Source organism: Homo sapiens, chromosome 11 (genome assembly GCF_000001405.40).
Source record: "Homo sapiens chromosome 11, GRCh38.p14 Primary Assembly".
Lineage (NCBI taxonomy): Eukaryota > Metazoa > Chordata > Mammalia > Primates > Hominidae > Homo > Homo sapiens.
In genome coordinates this window covers 94,863,082-94,880,230 of record NC_000011.10, presented here as the reverse complement: position 1 = coordinate 94,880,230, position 17,149 = coordinate 94,863,082, and the positions used below count along the sequence as shown (strand labels likewise).

The 17,149-nt window shown below is 46.4% G+C and overlaps 1 protein-coding gene across 7 annotated transcripts in view, besides 1 other annotated feature; it reads right to left on the bottom strand.

The window, feature by feature from the left end:
• Window positions 3,296-3,807: an enhancer, noted in NCBI's record as "H3K4me1 hESC enhancer chr11:94609589-94610100 (GRCh37/hg19 assembly coordinates)". NCBI's record gives its function as "activates a minimal SCP1, AML or CMV promoter by ChIP-STARR-seq in primed H9 embryonic stem cells {active_cell/tissue: H9 hESC(primed)}" and the evidence as "EXISTENCE:reporter gene assay evidence [ECO:0000049][PMID:30033119]".
• Window positions 3,483-17,149, bottom strand: part of AMOTL1 (angiomotin like 1) — a 170,289-nt gene continuing 156,622 nt past the window's right edge. For all 7 annotated transcript variants that reach the window (XM_005273798.5, XM_011542626.3, NM_130847.3 and 4 more), the window contains 4 exons: window positions 15,371-15,496; window positions 14,063-14,289; window positions 10,758-11,033; window positions 3,483-9,542 (listed from right to left, as the gene is read on the bottom strand). In XM_005273798.5, coding sequence (XP_005273855.1) covers window positions 9,436-9,542; window positions 10,758-11,033; window positions 14,063-14,289; window positions 15,371-15,496 — 736 coding nt within the window. In that variant the 3' untranslated portion in view covers window positions 3,483-9,435. The remainder of the gene's footprint in view (window positions 9,543-10,757; window positions 11,034-14,062; window positions 14,290-15,370; window positions 15,497-17,149) is intronic.

Sequence of the window (17,149 nt, the reverse complement as noted above, 5' to 3'; positions counted from 1 at the left end):
CAGGTGACTCAGCTAATAATGGAAGAGGAGCAATTAATTTTGACCCTGGTGACGGGAAATACCTTCCTGAGAAAAGTGACATTTGAGCCTCACCTTGAAGAATGAGTTAGATTGGACAGATGGACATCGCAATCCCAGAGGCATCCCAATCCCAGGGACCCCACGGATAGGTGCAGAAATGGAAACACACAAAGTAGATTATGGACACAGTGTGGTTCCTAGAGCAACTTGAAGGTAGGGGTGGAAAGGGAAGTGGAGAGAAACTAGTCAGGGAAGAGGGCAGGGGTCAGACTGTGCAGGGCATGAATGCCACAGCTTTATCCTGAAGGCCACAGGGGGCTAATAGTGCTGTGGCAATTTCCCTCAAAAGAGTGACATTATCAGACATCCCTCTAGAAACTCGGGTTGGGGAAGAACAGTGTGGTCTGGAGGCTCTGGAGCCAGTCTATCTGGGCTTGGATCCCAGCCCTGCACTCACAAGCTCTAGGACTTTGGGCAAGAGGCTTAAATTCCCTACTTCTTAGTTTCTCCATCAGTACAATGGAACTATAATAACAGTGATTGTAAGAATTCAATGTGCTAATATGGGAAAGGCTCACGGGAGGTTGGGTGCATAATGACAATGAATCAATGTCATTATTACTCTTGTTTCTCTGGTGTCCTTGTCAAGAATAGAGTAGGATGAGACAGTAGGCAGAAGGCTACTGTAATTGTCCATGAGAGAGATGAAGTCTTGAACTAAGGCCATGGGGATGGAGAAAATAAAAGTACAGAAGCAACATGGGAGGGTGAAGTAGGCAGGAACAGGTGACCAACTAGCTAAAGGAGAGAGTGGGGGAGGAGCCCAAGGTGACTGGGGACCCTAGCAGAGATGACTGAGTAGATGGGGCAGAAGCAGAGCCATGTATATGGAAGGGAAGGCACCAAGGTTCAGGTGATCGGGAAACCAGGCATAGATGCCTGTCAGGTACAATCAAGAATTTCATTAGACTCACAGACACTTCCATTTTACACTCAGCACTCCTGGGCCACAAGTTCTGTGGCTTCACAAGGTACCTGGGGAAAACCAAGAGCAGGTCCCCAGCCCCTGTGCAGACCTGACACAGCTTCTGCCTGTTGGTCCCTTCTCCACCATGCTACCTACCAGGTGAATGTTAGTAAACAAAATCTAGCAGGTAAAGATTAAGTATACATCTCACGGACCAGAGCTACTGATCCAGACTTTCTGTCCGGTATATGACTTTGGCCGAAAAAAAAGTCACATTTCCAACAAGGGCCTCAATAATGTTTTTTCAGTTAGCCATCTGCTTACCAATTCTCTTTAGAGCGATTAAAAACAAACACAAGCAAACCATAAAAAAAAACAAAAACACACAACTAAAGTCAAAGGCAACAATTCAGTGCAGAGAGAGAACAAAAGCTTTAGAAATGAGCAGGCCTGGCTTCTACTGCAGAGCCCAAGTGCACACCTCACTTCTCTTGAGTCTGTTTCCTCATTTGACGTGCAGGGGTAATAATGTCCCATAATACCTACCTCTGGGGTTCTTAAGATGAAATATTATTCCAAAGCCAATTCAATAAAACTTAGATCCTGCCTCCCTTGCACATTCAGAGAGGCAAAACCCATCAGGACACAAAGTTAGGCACTGTTAGTTTCTAACAATAGGACTATAATTCATATTACTATACTCCAAAGCACTCAACGATGTAGTCTATGATCCTTATATTATCTGTATACACATTATGAGTCTCCAAAAACTTGGGGAGAGTTACCCTTTGATAGAACTCCACATCAGATATGGAGGGCTTCCCAGGTTCCCATAAACTCCAGATTCAATTTAAAAAATTACCTATATATCTCTCAATATTCTAAAAAGAGAGGAACTTTGAGGATGATAGACTCACCAAGAGAGGGAGTCCTGGCTCACTTGGAATGGTCTCGGGATGTCTACCTGCCAGGAACAGAGGCAGATAAAGGAAGCACATCAAAGATACCCTGTCATGCTTGATAAAAAGGCAACAGAAACAGTAAACCATAATGACATTTTTTTATGACAGAAAGCTTCTTTTATTTTGACAACACAGAACTTTAAGAAAGGAATTTCATTGCTTCTGATTTATTTCCCATTTGTGACCTAATTCCTTATCACGATGGGCCTGCGCAACTTAAAACACATTGCTATCTCTTGTGGTTCCTGAGGCCCCAGCCCAGATGTCAGAATGGAGGCCAGTGTTCCTTCAGGGCACAGACGTGTACCACTTGGAATGACTACAAAGAACTGCTGGGATTGAGAACTTCTCTCCTGGGGTGTACAAGGGGCCAAGAGAAAGGTCAGAGCTCAGGGGGTGGCTCGCATGATGTACACATGTGGGATCAGCGTGGGAAGGTGACAACTCGGAAGGGTCATACAAACCCTAAACACAAATGCAGTACTCCAGCTGTCTTCCTGGAGTCATCCTGACAGGTAGAGACTGGGGAGCTGCAAGAGTGCATCTTTACGTGAATTGAGTCATATTTGCACACGCACACAGATGGCGCTCCCTGCAGAGGAGTCCTCGGGGTAGAAGCAGGACAGACAAGAAGCCAGGCAGACAGGAGCATGAGCCTCCTGCCTCCCAGCATCCACCCAACTTGCACATGCAAGTCCCTTGACTCTGCAACAGGTAGACCTGGGTTCAAATCCCCACCCTGCCATCTTTTGCACATTACTTGCCCAGGGTTGTTTGAGTTTCAGTCTCCTGGGGTTTAAAGTGGGGATGATGACGAGGTTGTTGTGACTGAAGAAGATAATGCATATAAATCACACTGATGATTACTCGGGGGCTAGAGATGCATCCTTCACACTCCCCCAGAGCTCACATCAAGGAAGCTTTTCCTATGCTAGGGCTGGGGGTGGGTGAGGAGACAGGCTTTCGCTGAAAAGGCATGACCAGAGAATAAACAGCAGGAACCACTCTCTCTTAAACACAGTGATCCCAGGGGAGGGGCCTTCATGTGGAGATTCTCATGAGTCTTACTCTGTTCTGCTTCAGTCTCTGAGGCTCCTGGCCTGGATTTCGCCCATTTACCGTGTGACTCCTTCCCACCAAAGTCCCGCTTTCTTCTCCTGTGACCCCAAGACACTGACAAAACAGCTCCCATCTCCCATTTCCATCCTCAGGCTCAGAGAGCCATGGCTGACTCCAGGCTGCCTGGGTGAATTCCTGAGACAGAGCCAGTTTACAGTGATCATTTGCAGGCTCTGAACTAAGGAACCTCAAAAGTGGACACTCACATGTGATCAAAGTGGACACCCAGGCACACAGTCTCCCTGCGTTTCCTTTCTCCTTATTTGTCTGGAGGAGCCAGGAGTGGGCGGGCTGCAAGCTGCGATGGTCTGGATGATTCATTTCCTCCTCAGAGTCAAGAGCTGCGTGTTGGTGTCAGCGTGAGGCCCACAAGGGGGGAGCCGAGGGCCTCTGAAGCAAAACATTAAGTGGGGTACAATGAAATGAAACATTTATTGAGCATCAGTTTATAAGTTCTTTAAGGAAGAAAGGAGCAAGCGAGAGAAAAGAGTCATTTTGCCATTTTATCCATTTATTATGTACAATATTAAGGCACAAGTTTAAGCAGCAAAGGAGAGGAAAATCTTTGGCTGACCAACAGCATCAATATTTGCTGTGGGGGACAGGCAGTGTTCTTGGAATCCCCACACTGGTACACAGACCCATTTGGCTGTATGGCCATGTACATCACCCCTCAATACAGACTGGCAATATGAAGACGTCAAACGTTACAGCCAGATACCAGTCTGCTGGGAAGAGCCGGCACGAGCACGGCACACTGCCACCAAGCACAGCGACACACACACACAGAGCAGGTTGGAGGGCAGCGGCAGCAGGACAGCTGAAATCGGGTGCCCATGCTTACCACTGTTTCACAGAATTTTACACAATTCTGTAAGTGCTCATGGAGGAGGAGGCTCCCTGTTCCTCCTCAAAAGGAAAAAAAACAAAAAACAAAAAAACACCTTGATTCAAATAAAACCAATGTGGATATATTTGCTTACATTCCGTTTTGTAATAAATACTTACAGGTGTCTCTATGTGAACAGACTCCTAGGCACAATCACATGTAAACACAACACCGGGCATCCAGACTTTGGGGGCTGATACAAGAAAACGCTGTATATGTAGTTCAATATAGAGAGAGCAGTATTCTAATTCTGTGAAGAAGCAAAGTTTCATGACAAAGAAACACCCCAGTCACATCATAACATGACAATAACATGCACTAAAGTAAACACAGTTTTACAGAATACCTACCAGATGTTTATATGAATGATTATGCACTTATATCTGTAGTGTATGCAGAGATGTGAACACATAGGAGGCATGGCAAGAGAATTGATTTTTAAAAATCTGTGTGCTAATGAGGATGATCCCCCCTTGAAGTGGACACTTTGAGAGGCTCTGAGGCCAAAGACTCATTCCAAGAAATTTCTTAGGGATTTTTTTAGAAACAAAAATGGTGTAACTTACCTTAATTGCCATCTTTTTTCATCCAACTGTGCTATCAAGCACTTGAGATTATTTCCAGAACTTAAATCCATCCTCAAAGGAGGAGGATTTCTCATCTCTAAGGGTAAACCAAAGGAACATGCCAAGCCCTGAAGGCCATTCTAGTAGAAGAGTTCCCAAGATATTTTTACTTGGCAGCACTATAGTCAATGAGCACATAGTCTCCCAAAAGACACCTTTTAAGGAGGGCGGGGTGAGATGAACACTTTGATCTTCTGTATGTTAGGAAAAGAAATTCCCACAAACAACCCTATAGTCATACCTCATATGTATGCACTCACTTATACACATGTCTTTATATACCATTAAATTACTAAGTGAGAAAAGGGTATACTACTTAAGAGAAAGAGGAAAAATTGCTCATTTGTTCCAGGAGAAATTCACTACTGAAATGCTAACTTTTGCATTTCCCCAGCCGACCAATTTCTGGTAACTTCTTAATTACTTTGCCTATCTCCCATGGAGCCACACGTCAGAGGCAAACTCATTAAACAATCGTCACATCTAATGAAGACATTTTAAACACTTTAATTACTTAAACAACAAGAAAAGAAACATTTATAAAGCATATACCAAGGCTGTCTCAGGTTTTAGGATGTGGAGAAGCCAATGGTAGGCTGGATACTCTCTGGCTACTTAAAGCCTTACCCATTTAAGAACATTTGTGGGATCCCACTGACTATGGTCATGGTACTCCTTTGCTTAAGAGGAGTGCAAGATCATTCAGAGAACACAGAGAAGCATGCTCCACTTACTCCAGCGTGGACACTGGTTTTGAACCCTGGTTTTGAAAAACACATCTCTTTGCTCAGCATAACTCCCTGCAGTCAAAACATGAGCCCCCTGCCTCAAAAGCTTTTAATGCCCCAATCTATTATCCACTGCTTCTGAGGTCCGCAGCCTCACCTGAAGTCTGTGTCCCTAAGTCTCTGGGACTCAGGTCAATGGGGAGGAAGAATTTCCCATTCTCTCAGCACCTGGCATGAAGGTGCTACAGCCACTGCATCATGAGGGTGCGCACCCAGGTGAGAACAAACAAGAGTAATGACTGGCTGCTCTGCACGGGGCATTCTGAACACCTCCTTCCTGAGTAACAGAAGCACTGAATTCTCTGTTCCAGGTTCAGAACTAATTTGTTGCAACTGTTTTGGTATCCATGCCAAGCCTTGTGGAGTCAAACTCATACATGAGTTCCAAAGAGCAACCCCAGAGGACTGCACCCAGAAGGGCTCCACCACTGCCTGCTCTCCCAACGAAAGCCTGAGGAGGGCCAAGGCAGCCCCTGCCCTGCGTGCATGGTTAGAACATGCTGAACTCTGCAGTGTCACTGGCTGCCAGCCTCTGGGAGGCAGAGAAAATGCTGAGAAGAAAACGCTAAGAAAGGGTTCTGCACATGCTCTGAAAGTTTTGGAAGATAATGTGTTTTTCCTGGCAGCTTAGCTATATGGACCTGCAGACAGTAATAGTTCTCATGTACAGAGGCATCTAATTAGTGAAACTCTAGCTTCAGAGACCTGACTCCAACTTCTCCAGTTCCATATAATATCCTGGCAGCACACAGAAACTGCCAGACAACGCAGTCAAGGGTGAAGCAGAACAATGCTGGAATACCTTCCCGTGAAGCCAGGGCCTCTCCCCTTCATCCTGAGATAGGACCCTCAAGTTCTATAATCAGGCTCCACTGGGAAAGTTTGAAGTCCAGGTCTCTGGGAAGTGCAGAAATATTTTTTAGGTATAGTTTGGAGCTGTGCTTCTGGTGGAACACAATAATTTCCATCTATGCCTAGCATTTATAGGTGATTCTAGGAGTTCTGGGCTTAGTCCTATTTCTTAGGCTCTGAGATGTGTGATAGCTGTGTGTGTGTGTGTGTGTGTGTGTGTGTGTGTGTGTAGTTACACGTGCACACACACATCACAGACAGGCATAGAGACTGCCAAGATGCAGTGCCGCATGTTAGAGGCTGTACAGCCAGGGTCTATGCCCAGTGCCTCTCCAAACTTTGTTTTAAATCATCCTAGCTTCTCCTGGCTGTGAGATTTCAGGAAGGGACTTAACCTTTCTGAGCCCATTTCCTCATCAGTGAAATCAGAATAATAAACGCACCCCCTGTACTCCAGGTGGGTGGAGGACTAATTAAAAGGTATTTACCACACTGTTTGCATACAGTTGACACTAGAAAATATAGTTGCATTATTTTTCTGAAAATCTGTTTAAGATATTGTAAGCTGCCCAGAACTCAGAGCAGGTACTCAGTATATGGCCGGACTTCAGGAAAGCTCTAATGATGAAAGAATTTAGTGCCCTGGCTTGGCAGGAAATTTCCCATAGAAGAAGACATTTTAAAGCTATAGATCCTGTTCTTAAGGAAGAGTCTCAGTAGGTTAAGAGAAAAAAAATACGGTCAAAGTCCAAAATACAATGCCGTTGAAGCCCTGAAACATGGCGATGTGTCTGTTTACAATGAAAACACTTGGCAGCTCAGGGGGACCTCGAAGAGCAAGCAAGTCTGACACCTGATTGGGGCAATCAGGTGTCTGGGGCATGAAGACGAGGCTTCGGGAGAAACAGCTGGGTCTCTCACTCTAACCTATGTCTAAGGGAGGCAGCCCAAGTTTGGGGTGGCCCAGACCTGATGGTAGGGGCTGGCAGAGTTGATTTACCTTCCTATCTCTAGACATTTTCCTTTCTGGTCCATCCCCAACATAAACTGGGGTCAAAATGTCCTTAAGAGAGTTAGCTGTCATCTCCTAACTCATCTCCTATGAAATGTGGTGGGAACAGAGATTAGGAAGGGATGTCTATGCCCTCTCCCCACCCATGTCCATCCTCAACCCTTTCCCCCATGGATGAGGCCTCCTGTGCCCTCTTCCCACACCCTATGGCATGGGGTGAGCTCCATGCTCAGCCTCTCAGAGCTCCTCAGTTTTCCTGTCTGCACAACAGGTACTCCGATGCTCAGTGTGAGACTAGAGGAGGTGATGAGCAGGTGGCACAATGTGCAGTGCCTATGGCCAAGCAGAGCCCCAGAGGGCCAGTTCCCACTCCTCTGTCGTACTGGGTGGCACAGAGGCTGGCCAAAGCCACTGATTTCTTCCCTTCCCTCTCCAGCTTACACCTCTTGTCTTCCTTCTGTCACCTCAATTTGGGGAGGCTATAACTTCACCGGGGTTACACACCCAAGACCAGTCCATTTTAGGATCCAAGCAAAGTTTCCTGAGTAGCACTCTCTTGAGTGTTTCATTTAGAAGGTACTTGGAAGAGGTACCCCCCTTTCTTTCTTCCTCTAAGTAAGCATGAGCAAAGGGAACTGGGAAAACAGCGATCCAGCTGACCTGGAGGTACAAAAACATCAGGACCCTGTAGGAGCATCTCTCTGATGGCCCGATGAGCTTCTCCTCTTTTCTAATCCAGCATCTCTTAGATTTGTAAAGGAAGCCAGTGTCTGCAGAGCTGAATATGCAATGTCACAGCAGAGGTCTAATGGACCCACCACCTAACACACTCCTGCCTCTTTTCCGTGGCACTTCTGTCTCACTTTGAATAAACTGCCTCAAAACTGAAACCCGGAAAAACCTGACAACACTGTATATACAACTGGCCTGGTAGGTTACAAAAGAAGTTCACAACAGAGGCAACCTGGTGCCACGGAGGTCTGGATGCTGATCGAGAGCAAGCAGAGGCGTGCGCGGGGGAGGAAAGAGTGTGAATACGCTCATGAGCCTCAATACAAGAAGCTATACGGGAGGCTGGTGAGATTCTGGAAACCACTGAGACAACTGTCTGTAAATTGTCATCTGTTTCCTGGAGTGCTGTCCTAAGTCTTCCCCAAACAGAGCAATGGAATTTGGAAATGTCAAGCTCCTTGCAAGACAGCCGATGTGAAAGACAAAAAAGCAAGTGCCACGATCTTAATGCAATATGTCACAGGGACCCACGGAATCTCCTGCCTCCTCAAAGCTTGCTTAGTTCACAGTCAGAATGAGGTTCGCAGCTGCAACCCAGCTATGCAAAGGTGAAGCAGCCAGGAAGTCGGCACGTGGCTTTGTCCTACTGGTCACTATCAAACACAGTAGGAATGATGACAGTTCAGGTACTGGTCTCATAAATCCCATACCTAAGGAATTCTGCTATGTCTTATTAAAAAGAAAAAAATGAAGGAACAACAAAAAATTAAAGACTGTAAAGCAGAGACAGAGATGAACTCAGAAGTTAGGATGGATGGGGACCGAGATCATAATCTATCCTGTTTAGAAAATACTGCAGAATTCAGAAAAGCTAAGAAGCCCAATCATCTCTTGAAAATCCAAACCAAACAGGTAATTAGGTGAAGACCAACTTTCATATTCCCCTCGCCCTCGATGCTTCTTCTCACTGCCACACTCACACTCACGGGACACCCCATGGTTGGCACAGGTGACACTGCATTATGCCAAGACAGGCTCTCAAGATTTCCTGGAGGCTTTTCTTAAATCAAACATGCTAAGAGGCAAGGAGAATGGGGGTATTCCAAGGATGATCCACATTTGGGTTTATCTGTTTATAATCAGAGAATGGGGGTACACAGGCCCTCCCCAAGAGATACATTTTCTGTACAATGAAAAATTCAGTTTCCTATTTCTTAACTTTGTTTGCAAACCTACACGCCTCTTCTCTCTTCCACCATGTGTAATAAAATCCATCGCATTCTCTTCTATCTTCAGTCATGTAGTTTTTGTGTTTAACATTTATAAAATGTGTTCTTATGAGTCTGAAATCTTTATCAGTTCAAATCATTCCTGATTTCCCATCTACAACCTTCTAGGTCTTTCTTCTTTCTCTGCCGCTTTCCTTGTTTGTCAGTGTTCTGTACTGAAATTCCACAGGGATGGCAGTTAGATGAGGACTTCCATCATCTCTCCATCAGGGAACTCGGGCTTGTGCAGCAAGCTGCTGACCCGGCCTCTGTGGTCAGGCGACTTCCCATGGCCAGGAGAGTTCTCTGCCAAATAGAGGGGAAACATCAGCTGCCCATTCCTCAGGAGGGGCATAGGCTTTCCAGGTTCTCTAAAATGGACCCACGTCCGATACCACTGCACACCCAGGATTCTCACCACAGGGCATGTGAGATGATCCAGCCCACAGTGGGAACATGCAGAATGACTGGGCCAGGATTCAGACACAAATACAAACCAGGATGGTGAAGGGAGAGGATTCAGAAGGTGAGGATGACAGTGGGACTCTGTACAGGAGCCCCTCACACCCTCTACTCAAAACTATCAGGTGCATATTCTGAGCTAGGCACTTTTGACAGGTTCTCTGGCTTACTTGGAAAAGAATCACATCTTTAAAAAGTGACAACATTGTATTTACTTGTCTACTTTGAAAAATGAAATAAACAACCCCCTTGGAGGAAACAGTTAACTTAGGGCCCACAGAGCCTGCACCTCCTCAAAAGAATTCCTGAAAAGGGAGGTCCCCATGACCATGATTAGTCTCAGGTTTTAGGATGTGGAGAAGCCAATGGTAGGCTGGGTACTCTCTGGCTACTTAAAGCCTTACCCATTTAAGAACATTTGTGGGATCCCACTGACCATGGCCATGGTACTCCTTTGCTTAAGAGGAGTGCCTTAAGAGGCCAGGTCTATTCTTACCCAGGACACTTAGGGACTCACTGCAAAGATCACCTCTCCCAAGTTGTCTTCCCGTAAATATTTTAAACAGCTCGTTAGTCCTGGCCCAAGTGCTGTGCCACACGTTAACCGACTCTGCAGGTCAATCTACCTTCTCCTTCCATCACAATGTCCTCCACTGAGGCCAGAATCCCTGGTAAGTTAGAGCCCTGAAGGCAACAGTGAACTTGTGCCTTTGATGTACCTGGTGCCTAATTCTGGCTCCCAAACATACCAGAGGGCATTCAGCCCCTTAGAGGGTCTGTTGTCACTCCATCCGGGGAAAGGTTAGTTAAAAAGTATGCATTGCCAGGGTAGTCTCAAGCCGTGCACTCATTTCAAATAGTAATAAACTAGATGTGTCTATATGCATATTTATTCCCGTAATAAGAAAGGGCACACATATCCTAAGTGCATTAGAATAGCATCCCCATAGAGTAAGAGCTGATGGGTGCCCCTGCTTCCTCTCTAGCTCAACAAAAGATTCTCTTAGGCCAGACAGTTCCACAGTTTTCAGGGGCATCAAGGTGGGGTAGCCCACATACCCAGTTTCTCTGCGGTCCCTTTGGCCGCTGGGTGTTTCAGGACGGGGCTGTGAGCAGGGGTCGTGCTCAGCCGGCCGCGGCTGGGAAGGGAGGCCATGCTGGGCCAGAAGAGCTCGGCACTCTTGTCAGTCTGTGTGCTGCTGTCCTTGCTGCCTGTCTTGGCGTGGGCACTGCTGGCTGCCGTAGTGGAGGCTATGGAGGACAGTGCTGAGGTGGGTGGGGGTGGCAGCAGTGGGGCAGAGGCATGCTCATGGTGCTCCTTCCCCAGCAGCAATCCTGAGGGCAGAGAACAGATTTTTCAACATTCTTTTTTTCCTTTTTTTTTTTTTAAATCTAGTCTTGCAGATCTGTTCCTTGTTGATTGATGATTGCTTCATTCATTCATTGATTCATTCCCCAAGCATTTAATAAACACTTATTACAAGGCTGATAAAATAACAAACACTGAGAGAATAAAAAATGGAAGACCTAGTCCCCTTCCTAAAAAATTGTAGGTTTTTTTTGTGTGTTTTTTTTGTTTTTTTTTTTTGGAGTGGAGAAGTAGTTGTCAAGTAAACTGATTATAACTTAATATATAAACTGTAGGATACAAATAAATTATTCACAGGGTGGTATGGACGAACAGAGAAGTGCCTAATTGCCAGCAGGAGGGGTAGGGAGGTTCCCACAAGGCTTTCCAGAGACCATGCTTGCTGTTACCAACGTGGCCCAGAAGGGCTGGCCTGAAGCGTGGCAGTGTGCTTAAGAAAAACTACAAGGCTTCCCCGGTCCTAGACATGTTCCCATTGGCTTGCTGCTCTTCTGAATAGTTCACAATTCCACCCCACTCCTTGTAATGGATGATGGTCCCCCACAGGCTTGGATTCAAAGATAAACATGCTACCTGCACATTTCTGCGGTGGAACTGTAGCCTCCCAGAAGCAGAAAGCCAGCCAGCCTCCTAGGAAAGGCCACTTAGCCCTCTCCTTACCCCCTTCCTCAAGAGTAGTGAGGCTGGGGTGGGGAAGAGGGGATGCTGGCTATGGAAATGGGAGGCGTGGTGTGCAGAGGTGTCCATTTTCCTCAGAGCCTTCCTGGAAAGCTGGGTGGGAGGATAACTTTTTATTTTTAAATACAGCACACACGCGGGAAAGTGCCAGCACCCTAGAATGCTAGCCTATAGAAAAGGCGGTAAGCGCAATCAAGTATTTGTTCTCTTATCTGGTTAGATAGCCAGCAATTCATAAAGTATCCTCGCCAGAGCTGTTTTAAGGTGCCCATTTAGAACTCAGGGCAGTTCAGTTTGTCGAGAGCAGTGCTTTTCAAAATGCAATGTGCATAACAATGACTTGGCTATACCGTTAAAAGGAAGACCTGATCCAGCAGGCAGGGCCTGGGATTCTGTATTTCTAAGAAGCTCCCAGATGGTGCTGGTGCCACTGGTCCACAGACCACGCTGAGCAGCAAAGGCCTTCACCTGCGCTTCCCACATCATCTCACTTCATACTGCATGTCATTCCTGCGAGACAGGCCTTATCCTGTCTTACGGAGAAGGAAATGGAAGCTCACAAAAACTAACATCTCACAGCTAAGAAGCAGCAGAAATGGGACTCAAACCCAACTGTGCCTGACTTGGAGTCCAACCTATGTTCTTTCCACTTCATCGCCCAGCCTGTGGAAACTCCAGAGTCTGCAGGATGTCCTCGTAGGGAGTGACAGGCTGAATAAGTCACTAGCCAGCCATAGCTCCTGGGATACCCTGGGCAATTGGGAAGGTATATGCTGTCACCTCCACCTCCTTCCAGAGCCTATCAGGCAAGCAATGGTGACAACATGTGGGGAACTGTGCAGTCACCCATGAACCTGCCTCAGCCCCTTGGAGAGTCCCTGTGTTTGTGACACGTGGACACCAATGACAACAATGAGGAGGAATATCAGTGCAGGGAACACAGCAGCTCTTCCTTCAAACAAGTCCTCCGGCTCCCAGGCCTGGTTTAGACATGCCAGGTCCTGGGGCATACGGGCACAGACACCAGAGATGCCTGCCTGGCTGCACGTCACAAACAGGGGACTCCCAGGGAGGTTGCTACCAGAGCTGAGCAAATTTTCAAACTCCTTGACCAGGCCTGGCTCAGCACTGCCTCCCAGCTCTCTAGCTGGGGTGGGAGCTAAATGTCCTTGGGACAGTCTTTGATGATCTCAGCTGCTGTCCACACACGTCTTCTTTGAAGTGCATTTCCTTTGGGGGCAGGGGCTGCTGAAGCCACCAGTGGAGGGACTTCAAACACAGATTCTGGTTGGGAGCCTTTGATCCCCCCAACTCTGTCGGGTTCATATGGAAGCTCTTATCCCCTCTGGCCCAGAGCAGCCAGTCTCCTTTGGGGTCTTATGCTGAGGACCACTGGCTCTCAGCTGCACAGAGAAACAAAAACACGATCTGATGTGGGGAAATGCATCAAAGAAGGGCCAGACCCCTGGAGAGGCCAGAGTGCAGGGGAAGGATGTGGAGGACCTGTGTCTGAGCACGCTGCCTGCTTCCCCTCCAGCTTGGCTAGCCCAGCCAGCCAACAAGCCTGCCTGCCCCCAAGAAACCTACTCCTGGCTAAGACCACACTTAGGGAATTCTGCCCATGCAACAACAATACAGCAAAAACTTACCACCCCTACCTTATGCGAGAGAGCACTTCTTCCAATGTGCTCTCCCCATTATCCCATTCTTCCCTCCCACGCCCCATGGGGTAAAGCAGGCAGACACTGTCCTCCCCCCATTATCCCATTCTTCCCTCCCACGCCCCATGGGGTAAAGCAGGCAGACACTCTCCTCCCACCATTATCCCATTCTTCCCTCCCACGCCCCATGGGGTAAAGCAGGCAGACACTCTCCTCCCCCCATTATCCCATTATTCCCTCCCACTCCCCATGGGGTAAAGCAGGCAGACACTGTCCTCCCTTTCCAGACGTGGAAGCAGAGGTGGAGCCGTCATACAACTGGTCTAGAGCAGAGCCAAGTTCAGAGGCGTGATGTCTCTAGGCTTTTCTATGAGAGCCTTTTGTGTTATAAGGGTCACCTCAACTTACAACAATAATAGATAATTCTGATCTGAGTCAACCCATGGCTAAGAGCTACTCCAGTGGTGCAGTCTTTAGAATTTACACAATGCTTCCACATATCTATAACTGAAGTATGACTGATTTCCCTCCCCACTTCACAGATGAGTAAACTGAGACCAGGAACTATTCAGGGACATTTCCGTGTCCCATGAGTGGCAGAGAAGCTGTCTGGTCTTGCTTTTCCAATCATGGTCTGACAGAGGTGTGGGGCTCACCTATGCTCCCCTTCCAGGTCTTCTCTTCCTTCTTTTCCTCAGCCAGCTGGCTGCTGGTAAGAGAGGTCTGGCGAGAGTGTGTCCCAGTAGCTGCTGCTATGGATGGAACGGAGCGGGCAGGACGTAGGCTGGAGGAGTCTGTCTTCCCGGCATCTTTACGAGATCGCTGCTGCAGGACCTTAATCATAGCATCTTTCTCTATGATTTTGGCATGGAGATTTTTAATACTGTAAAACAAAACAAAACAGTCTCCATAAAAAGCCACTTGGCTAGAAAAACTTGAAACATTTATCTCAGGCTGTCCCAAAGACTTTAATTGTAATTTAGGGATACAGGATGAAGCACAGTACGAGTCTTCAAATGTTGATAATCTCCAAATTGTTAAGACAGGTCTTTTGTCATATGTCAAAAGAGTACACCTTCTCTGGCACCTTGGGAGACTGGGACTTCAGCGAGGTACAGTTAGAATGACCGTGGCCACATTCCTGGACCGAAGTCGGCTGGGGACCATATTTAGAGGGTCTAGCATTGGCGGTGGGGGCCGGGGGTAGGTAGGGGATAGGGAAGCATAAAAACTCTAAAGCCTCAAACAGGGTGAGCTTTCAGCTAAAGTCAATTTCTCTATTTTCTAAGAAAAAAGAACCAAGATGAACAGGTTCTCTGGTAGAAGATGATTTTTCTGGAAGAATGCTGAGTTATTTTCACAACTTTGATAGTAACTCACTGAGCCTATCTATCAATGGCTCAACTACTCAGCCCTATTTTCACATCTGCAAAATAAGAGGCCTAGGGCTCCCAGGGTTCCACAAGCCCTTAGGTAGTGAAGGGGGACAGGCTAGTTTTATTATGTCAAAAAGTCTGCTGGAAATTTTGTGTAGCCCATCAGAAGAGTGCATTAGCTAAATATGTTCTTTATTTTGGACTGGAATATATAAATTCTGGCTCAAAAACTCTGAATCTTTGGGATATAATGTTTCCCCCTTTCAGCTCATAATGTCATAGAGATAGACACCAAGAAATAACACAGACATCTAAATTCTTCTGTCACTAGACTCAGCCTGCATCTTAAAACCGGCAGGTGACACGCAATTTCCCCCAGAGAACTCCGGCACCAGATCCATTGCTGAGTGGAACCACGTGCTTAGGTTGGAACCTTTTCCTTCTCTCCATGGCACAGCATGGGGGAGGAGAGTTTTTGGAGACCTCATGCTCACAGCCTTTCAGAACAGGACAGAGAAGCAATCTGTTCTGGAAGGCCTGGAGTGTGAATGCAGCGGGCCCCACACGTCACACATAGTCGTCCCTTACGTGTATTCCATGTCCTGACACCTTCTGTTGGCCTGCACCACCTCCTCCTCCTCTTGCCAGATGTGGGCCTCCAGCGAGCTCTCTCCGTAGCTGCCATTCCGTGAGTGGTTGATGATCGTGGTGTCCCTGGCAACACAAGGATATGCGTTTGATCATAGGAAACCTTCTTGCTTTGTCTCAATGCAAACAGACACAGAATGGAGAGGCTGGTGTTCATGCTGGAACAGAGATCAGCTCTGCATCTCGCATTGGCTCATGAAGCCTTTCCCTCCCAATTTCCCCAGCTCAGTTATCAATCTCATCTGATGCCCATACAGAGAAAGGTGTAAATGCTTGTGGAGAGGTGATCACAGGGTGCCGTGCTAAAACTCCACAAACTCCTTCACCCACTTTTCCTCTCCTGAATTCTGTCCAATTCTCTTCCTTAACTAGATAGAATTAAGCAGCATCTAAGGAAAACAAAATAAAATTCAAAAATCAAGTCCCCTCCCCCTTCTGACTACATTATGTATGTAGCTACATGGCATGTTATGAATATGTAAAATGGGCACCTAGAGATTTAATCTACTGACTTATGGACACTATTATTATTATTATTATTATTATTATTGTATTTGTTGGTGTTTCCATGCTTGTACTTTTTCATGCTTGTCCTATACCTCACTTTTCCAATCAGAGTTTAGGTTTTATTTCTGTTTATCATCCATACAGCATAGAATGCCTACTTCAGTATTTTACAGTAAAATGGGGGCTCAGTAAATACTTAAAACTGAGACTGGTCCTCTCAGAGAGTGAGGCTCCAAGCTGAAGTCTTCCTTCATGTTGTATTCTGTCTCACTTCTTGTTTTATGGGCCCTGCCTGGGATGCAGGTCAGGACAATGTAATAGGCATGCCAGGGTCCAGGACAGAAAGAAGAAGGCAGACACTGTCCTTGACAAGTTCAGGTGAGGTGGGTGCAGTGAGGGCAAGGGCAGACACGAGAAGATCAAGAAGCAGTTTCACTGCAAGCATCTGTCTGACTATAAACAACCAGTCACAGATAACTATTCCTGCCACTGGTTTTGACAATTTAATTACTACTAACTAACAATGATTAGTAAAAATAAGATCACTGCATCATCTAAGTGATATAGCTCAAGATGAAAGGCACAATAATGGCTCTGACTACATGAGTATTTAATTAGTAAGACATGATGTAGCCAAGTATTTCACATCTTTTAACTTCATATTCCAATGTACAATCATACTGAAAAACTTTTTTTTTTTTGAGATGGAGTTTCATTCTTGTTGCCCAGACTGGAGTGCAGTGGCGTGATCTCAGCTCACTGCAACCTCCACCTCCTGAGTTCAAGCGATTCTCTTGTCTCAGCCTTCCAAGTAGCTGGGATTACAGACATGCGTCACCACATCTGGCTAATTTTGTATTTTTAGTAGAAATGGTGTTTCACCACGTTGGTCAGGCTGGTCTCAAACTCCTGACCTCAGGTGATTCACCCGCCTCAGCCTCCCAGAGTGCTGGGATTACAGACGTGAGCCACCGCGCCCCGCCTGAAAACTTTAAAGCTTTTTTTTTTTTTTTTACAGAATAGCCCAAAACAGAAAAATAGAGGCCCCTTTAATGACAGCTATCAACATTAATGAGCATTTACTTCATACAGGGACTGGGTAGGGCACGGTACACATGGTCTCTCATTTAGTTCTCACAACTTGTGCACAAGGTATTATTATCCTCAATTTCTAGATGAAGAAACCAGGGTTAGGTGACATTTCCAAGAATA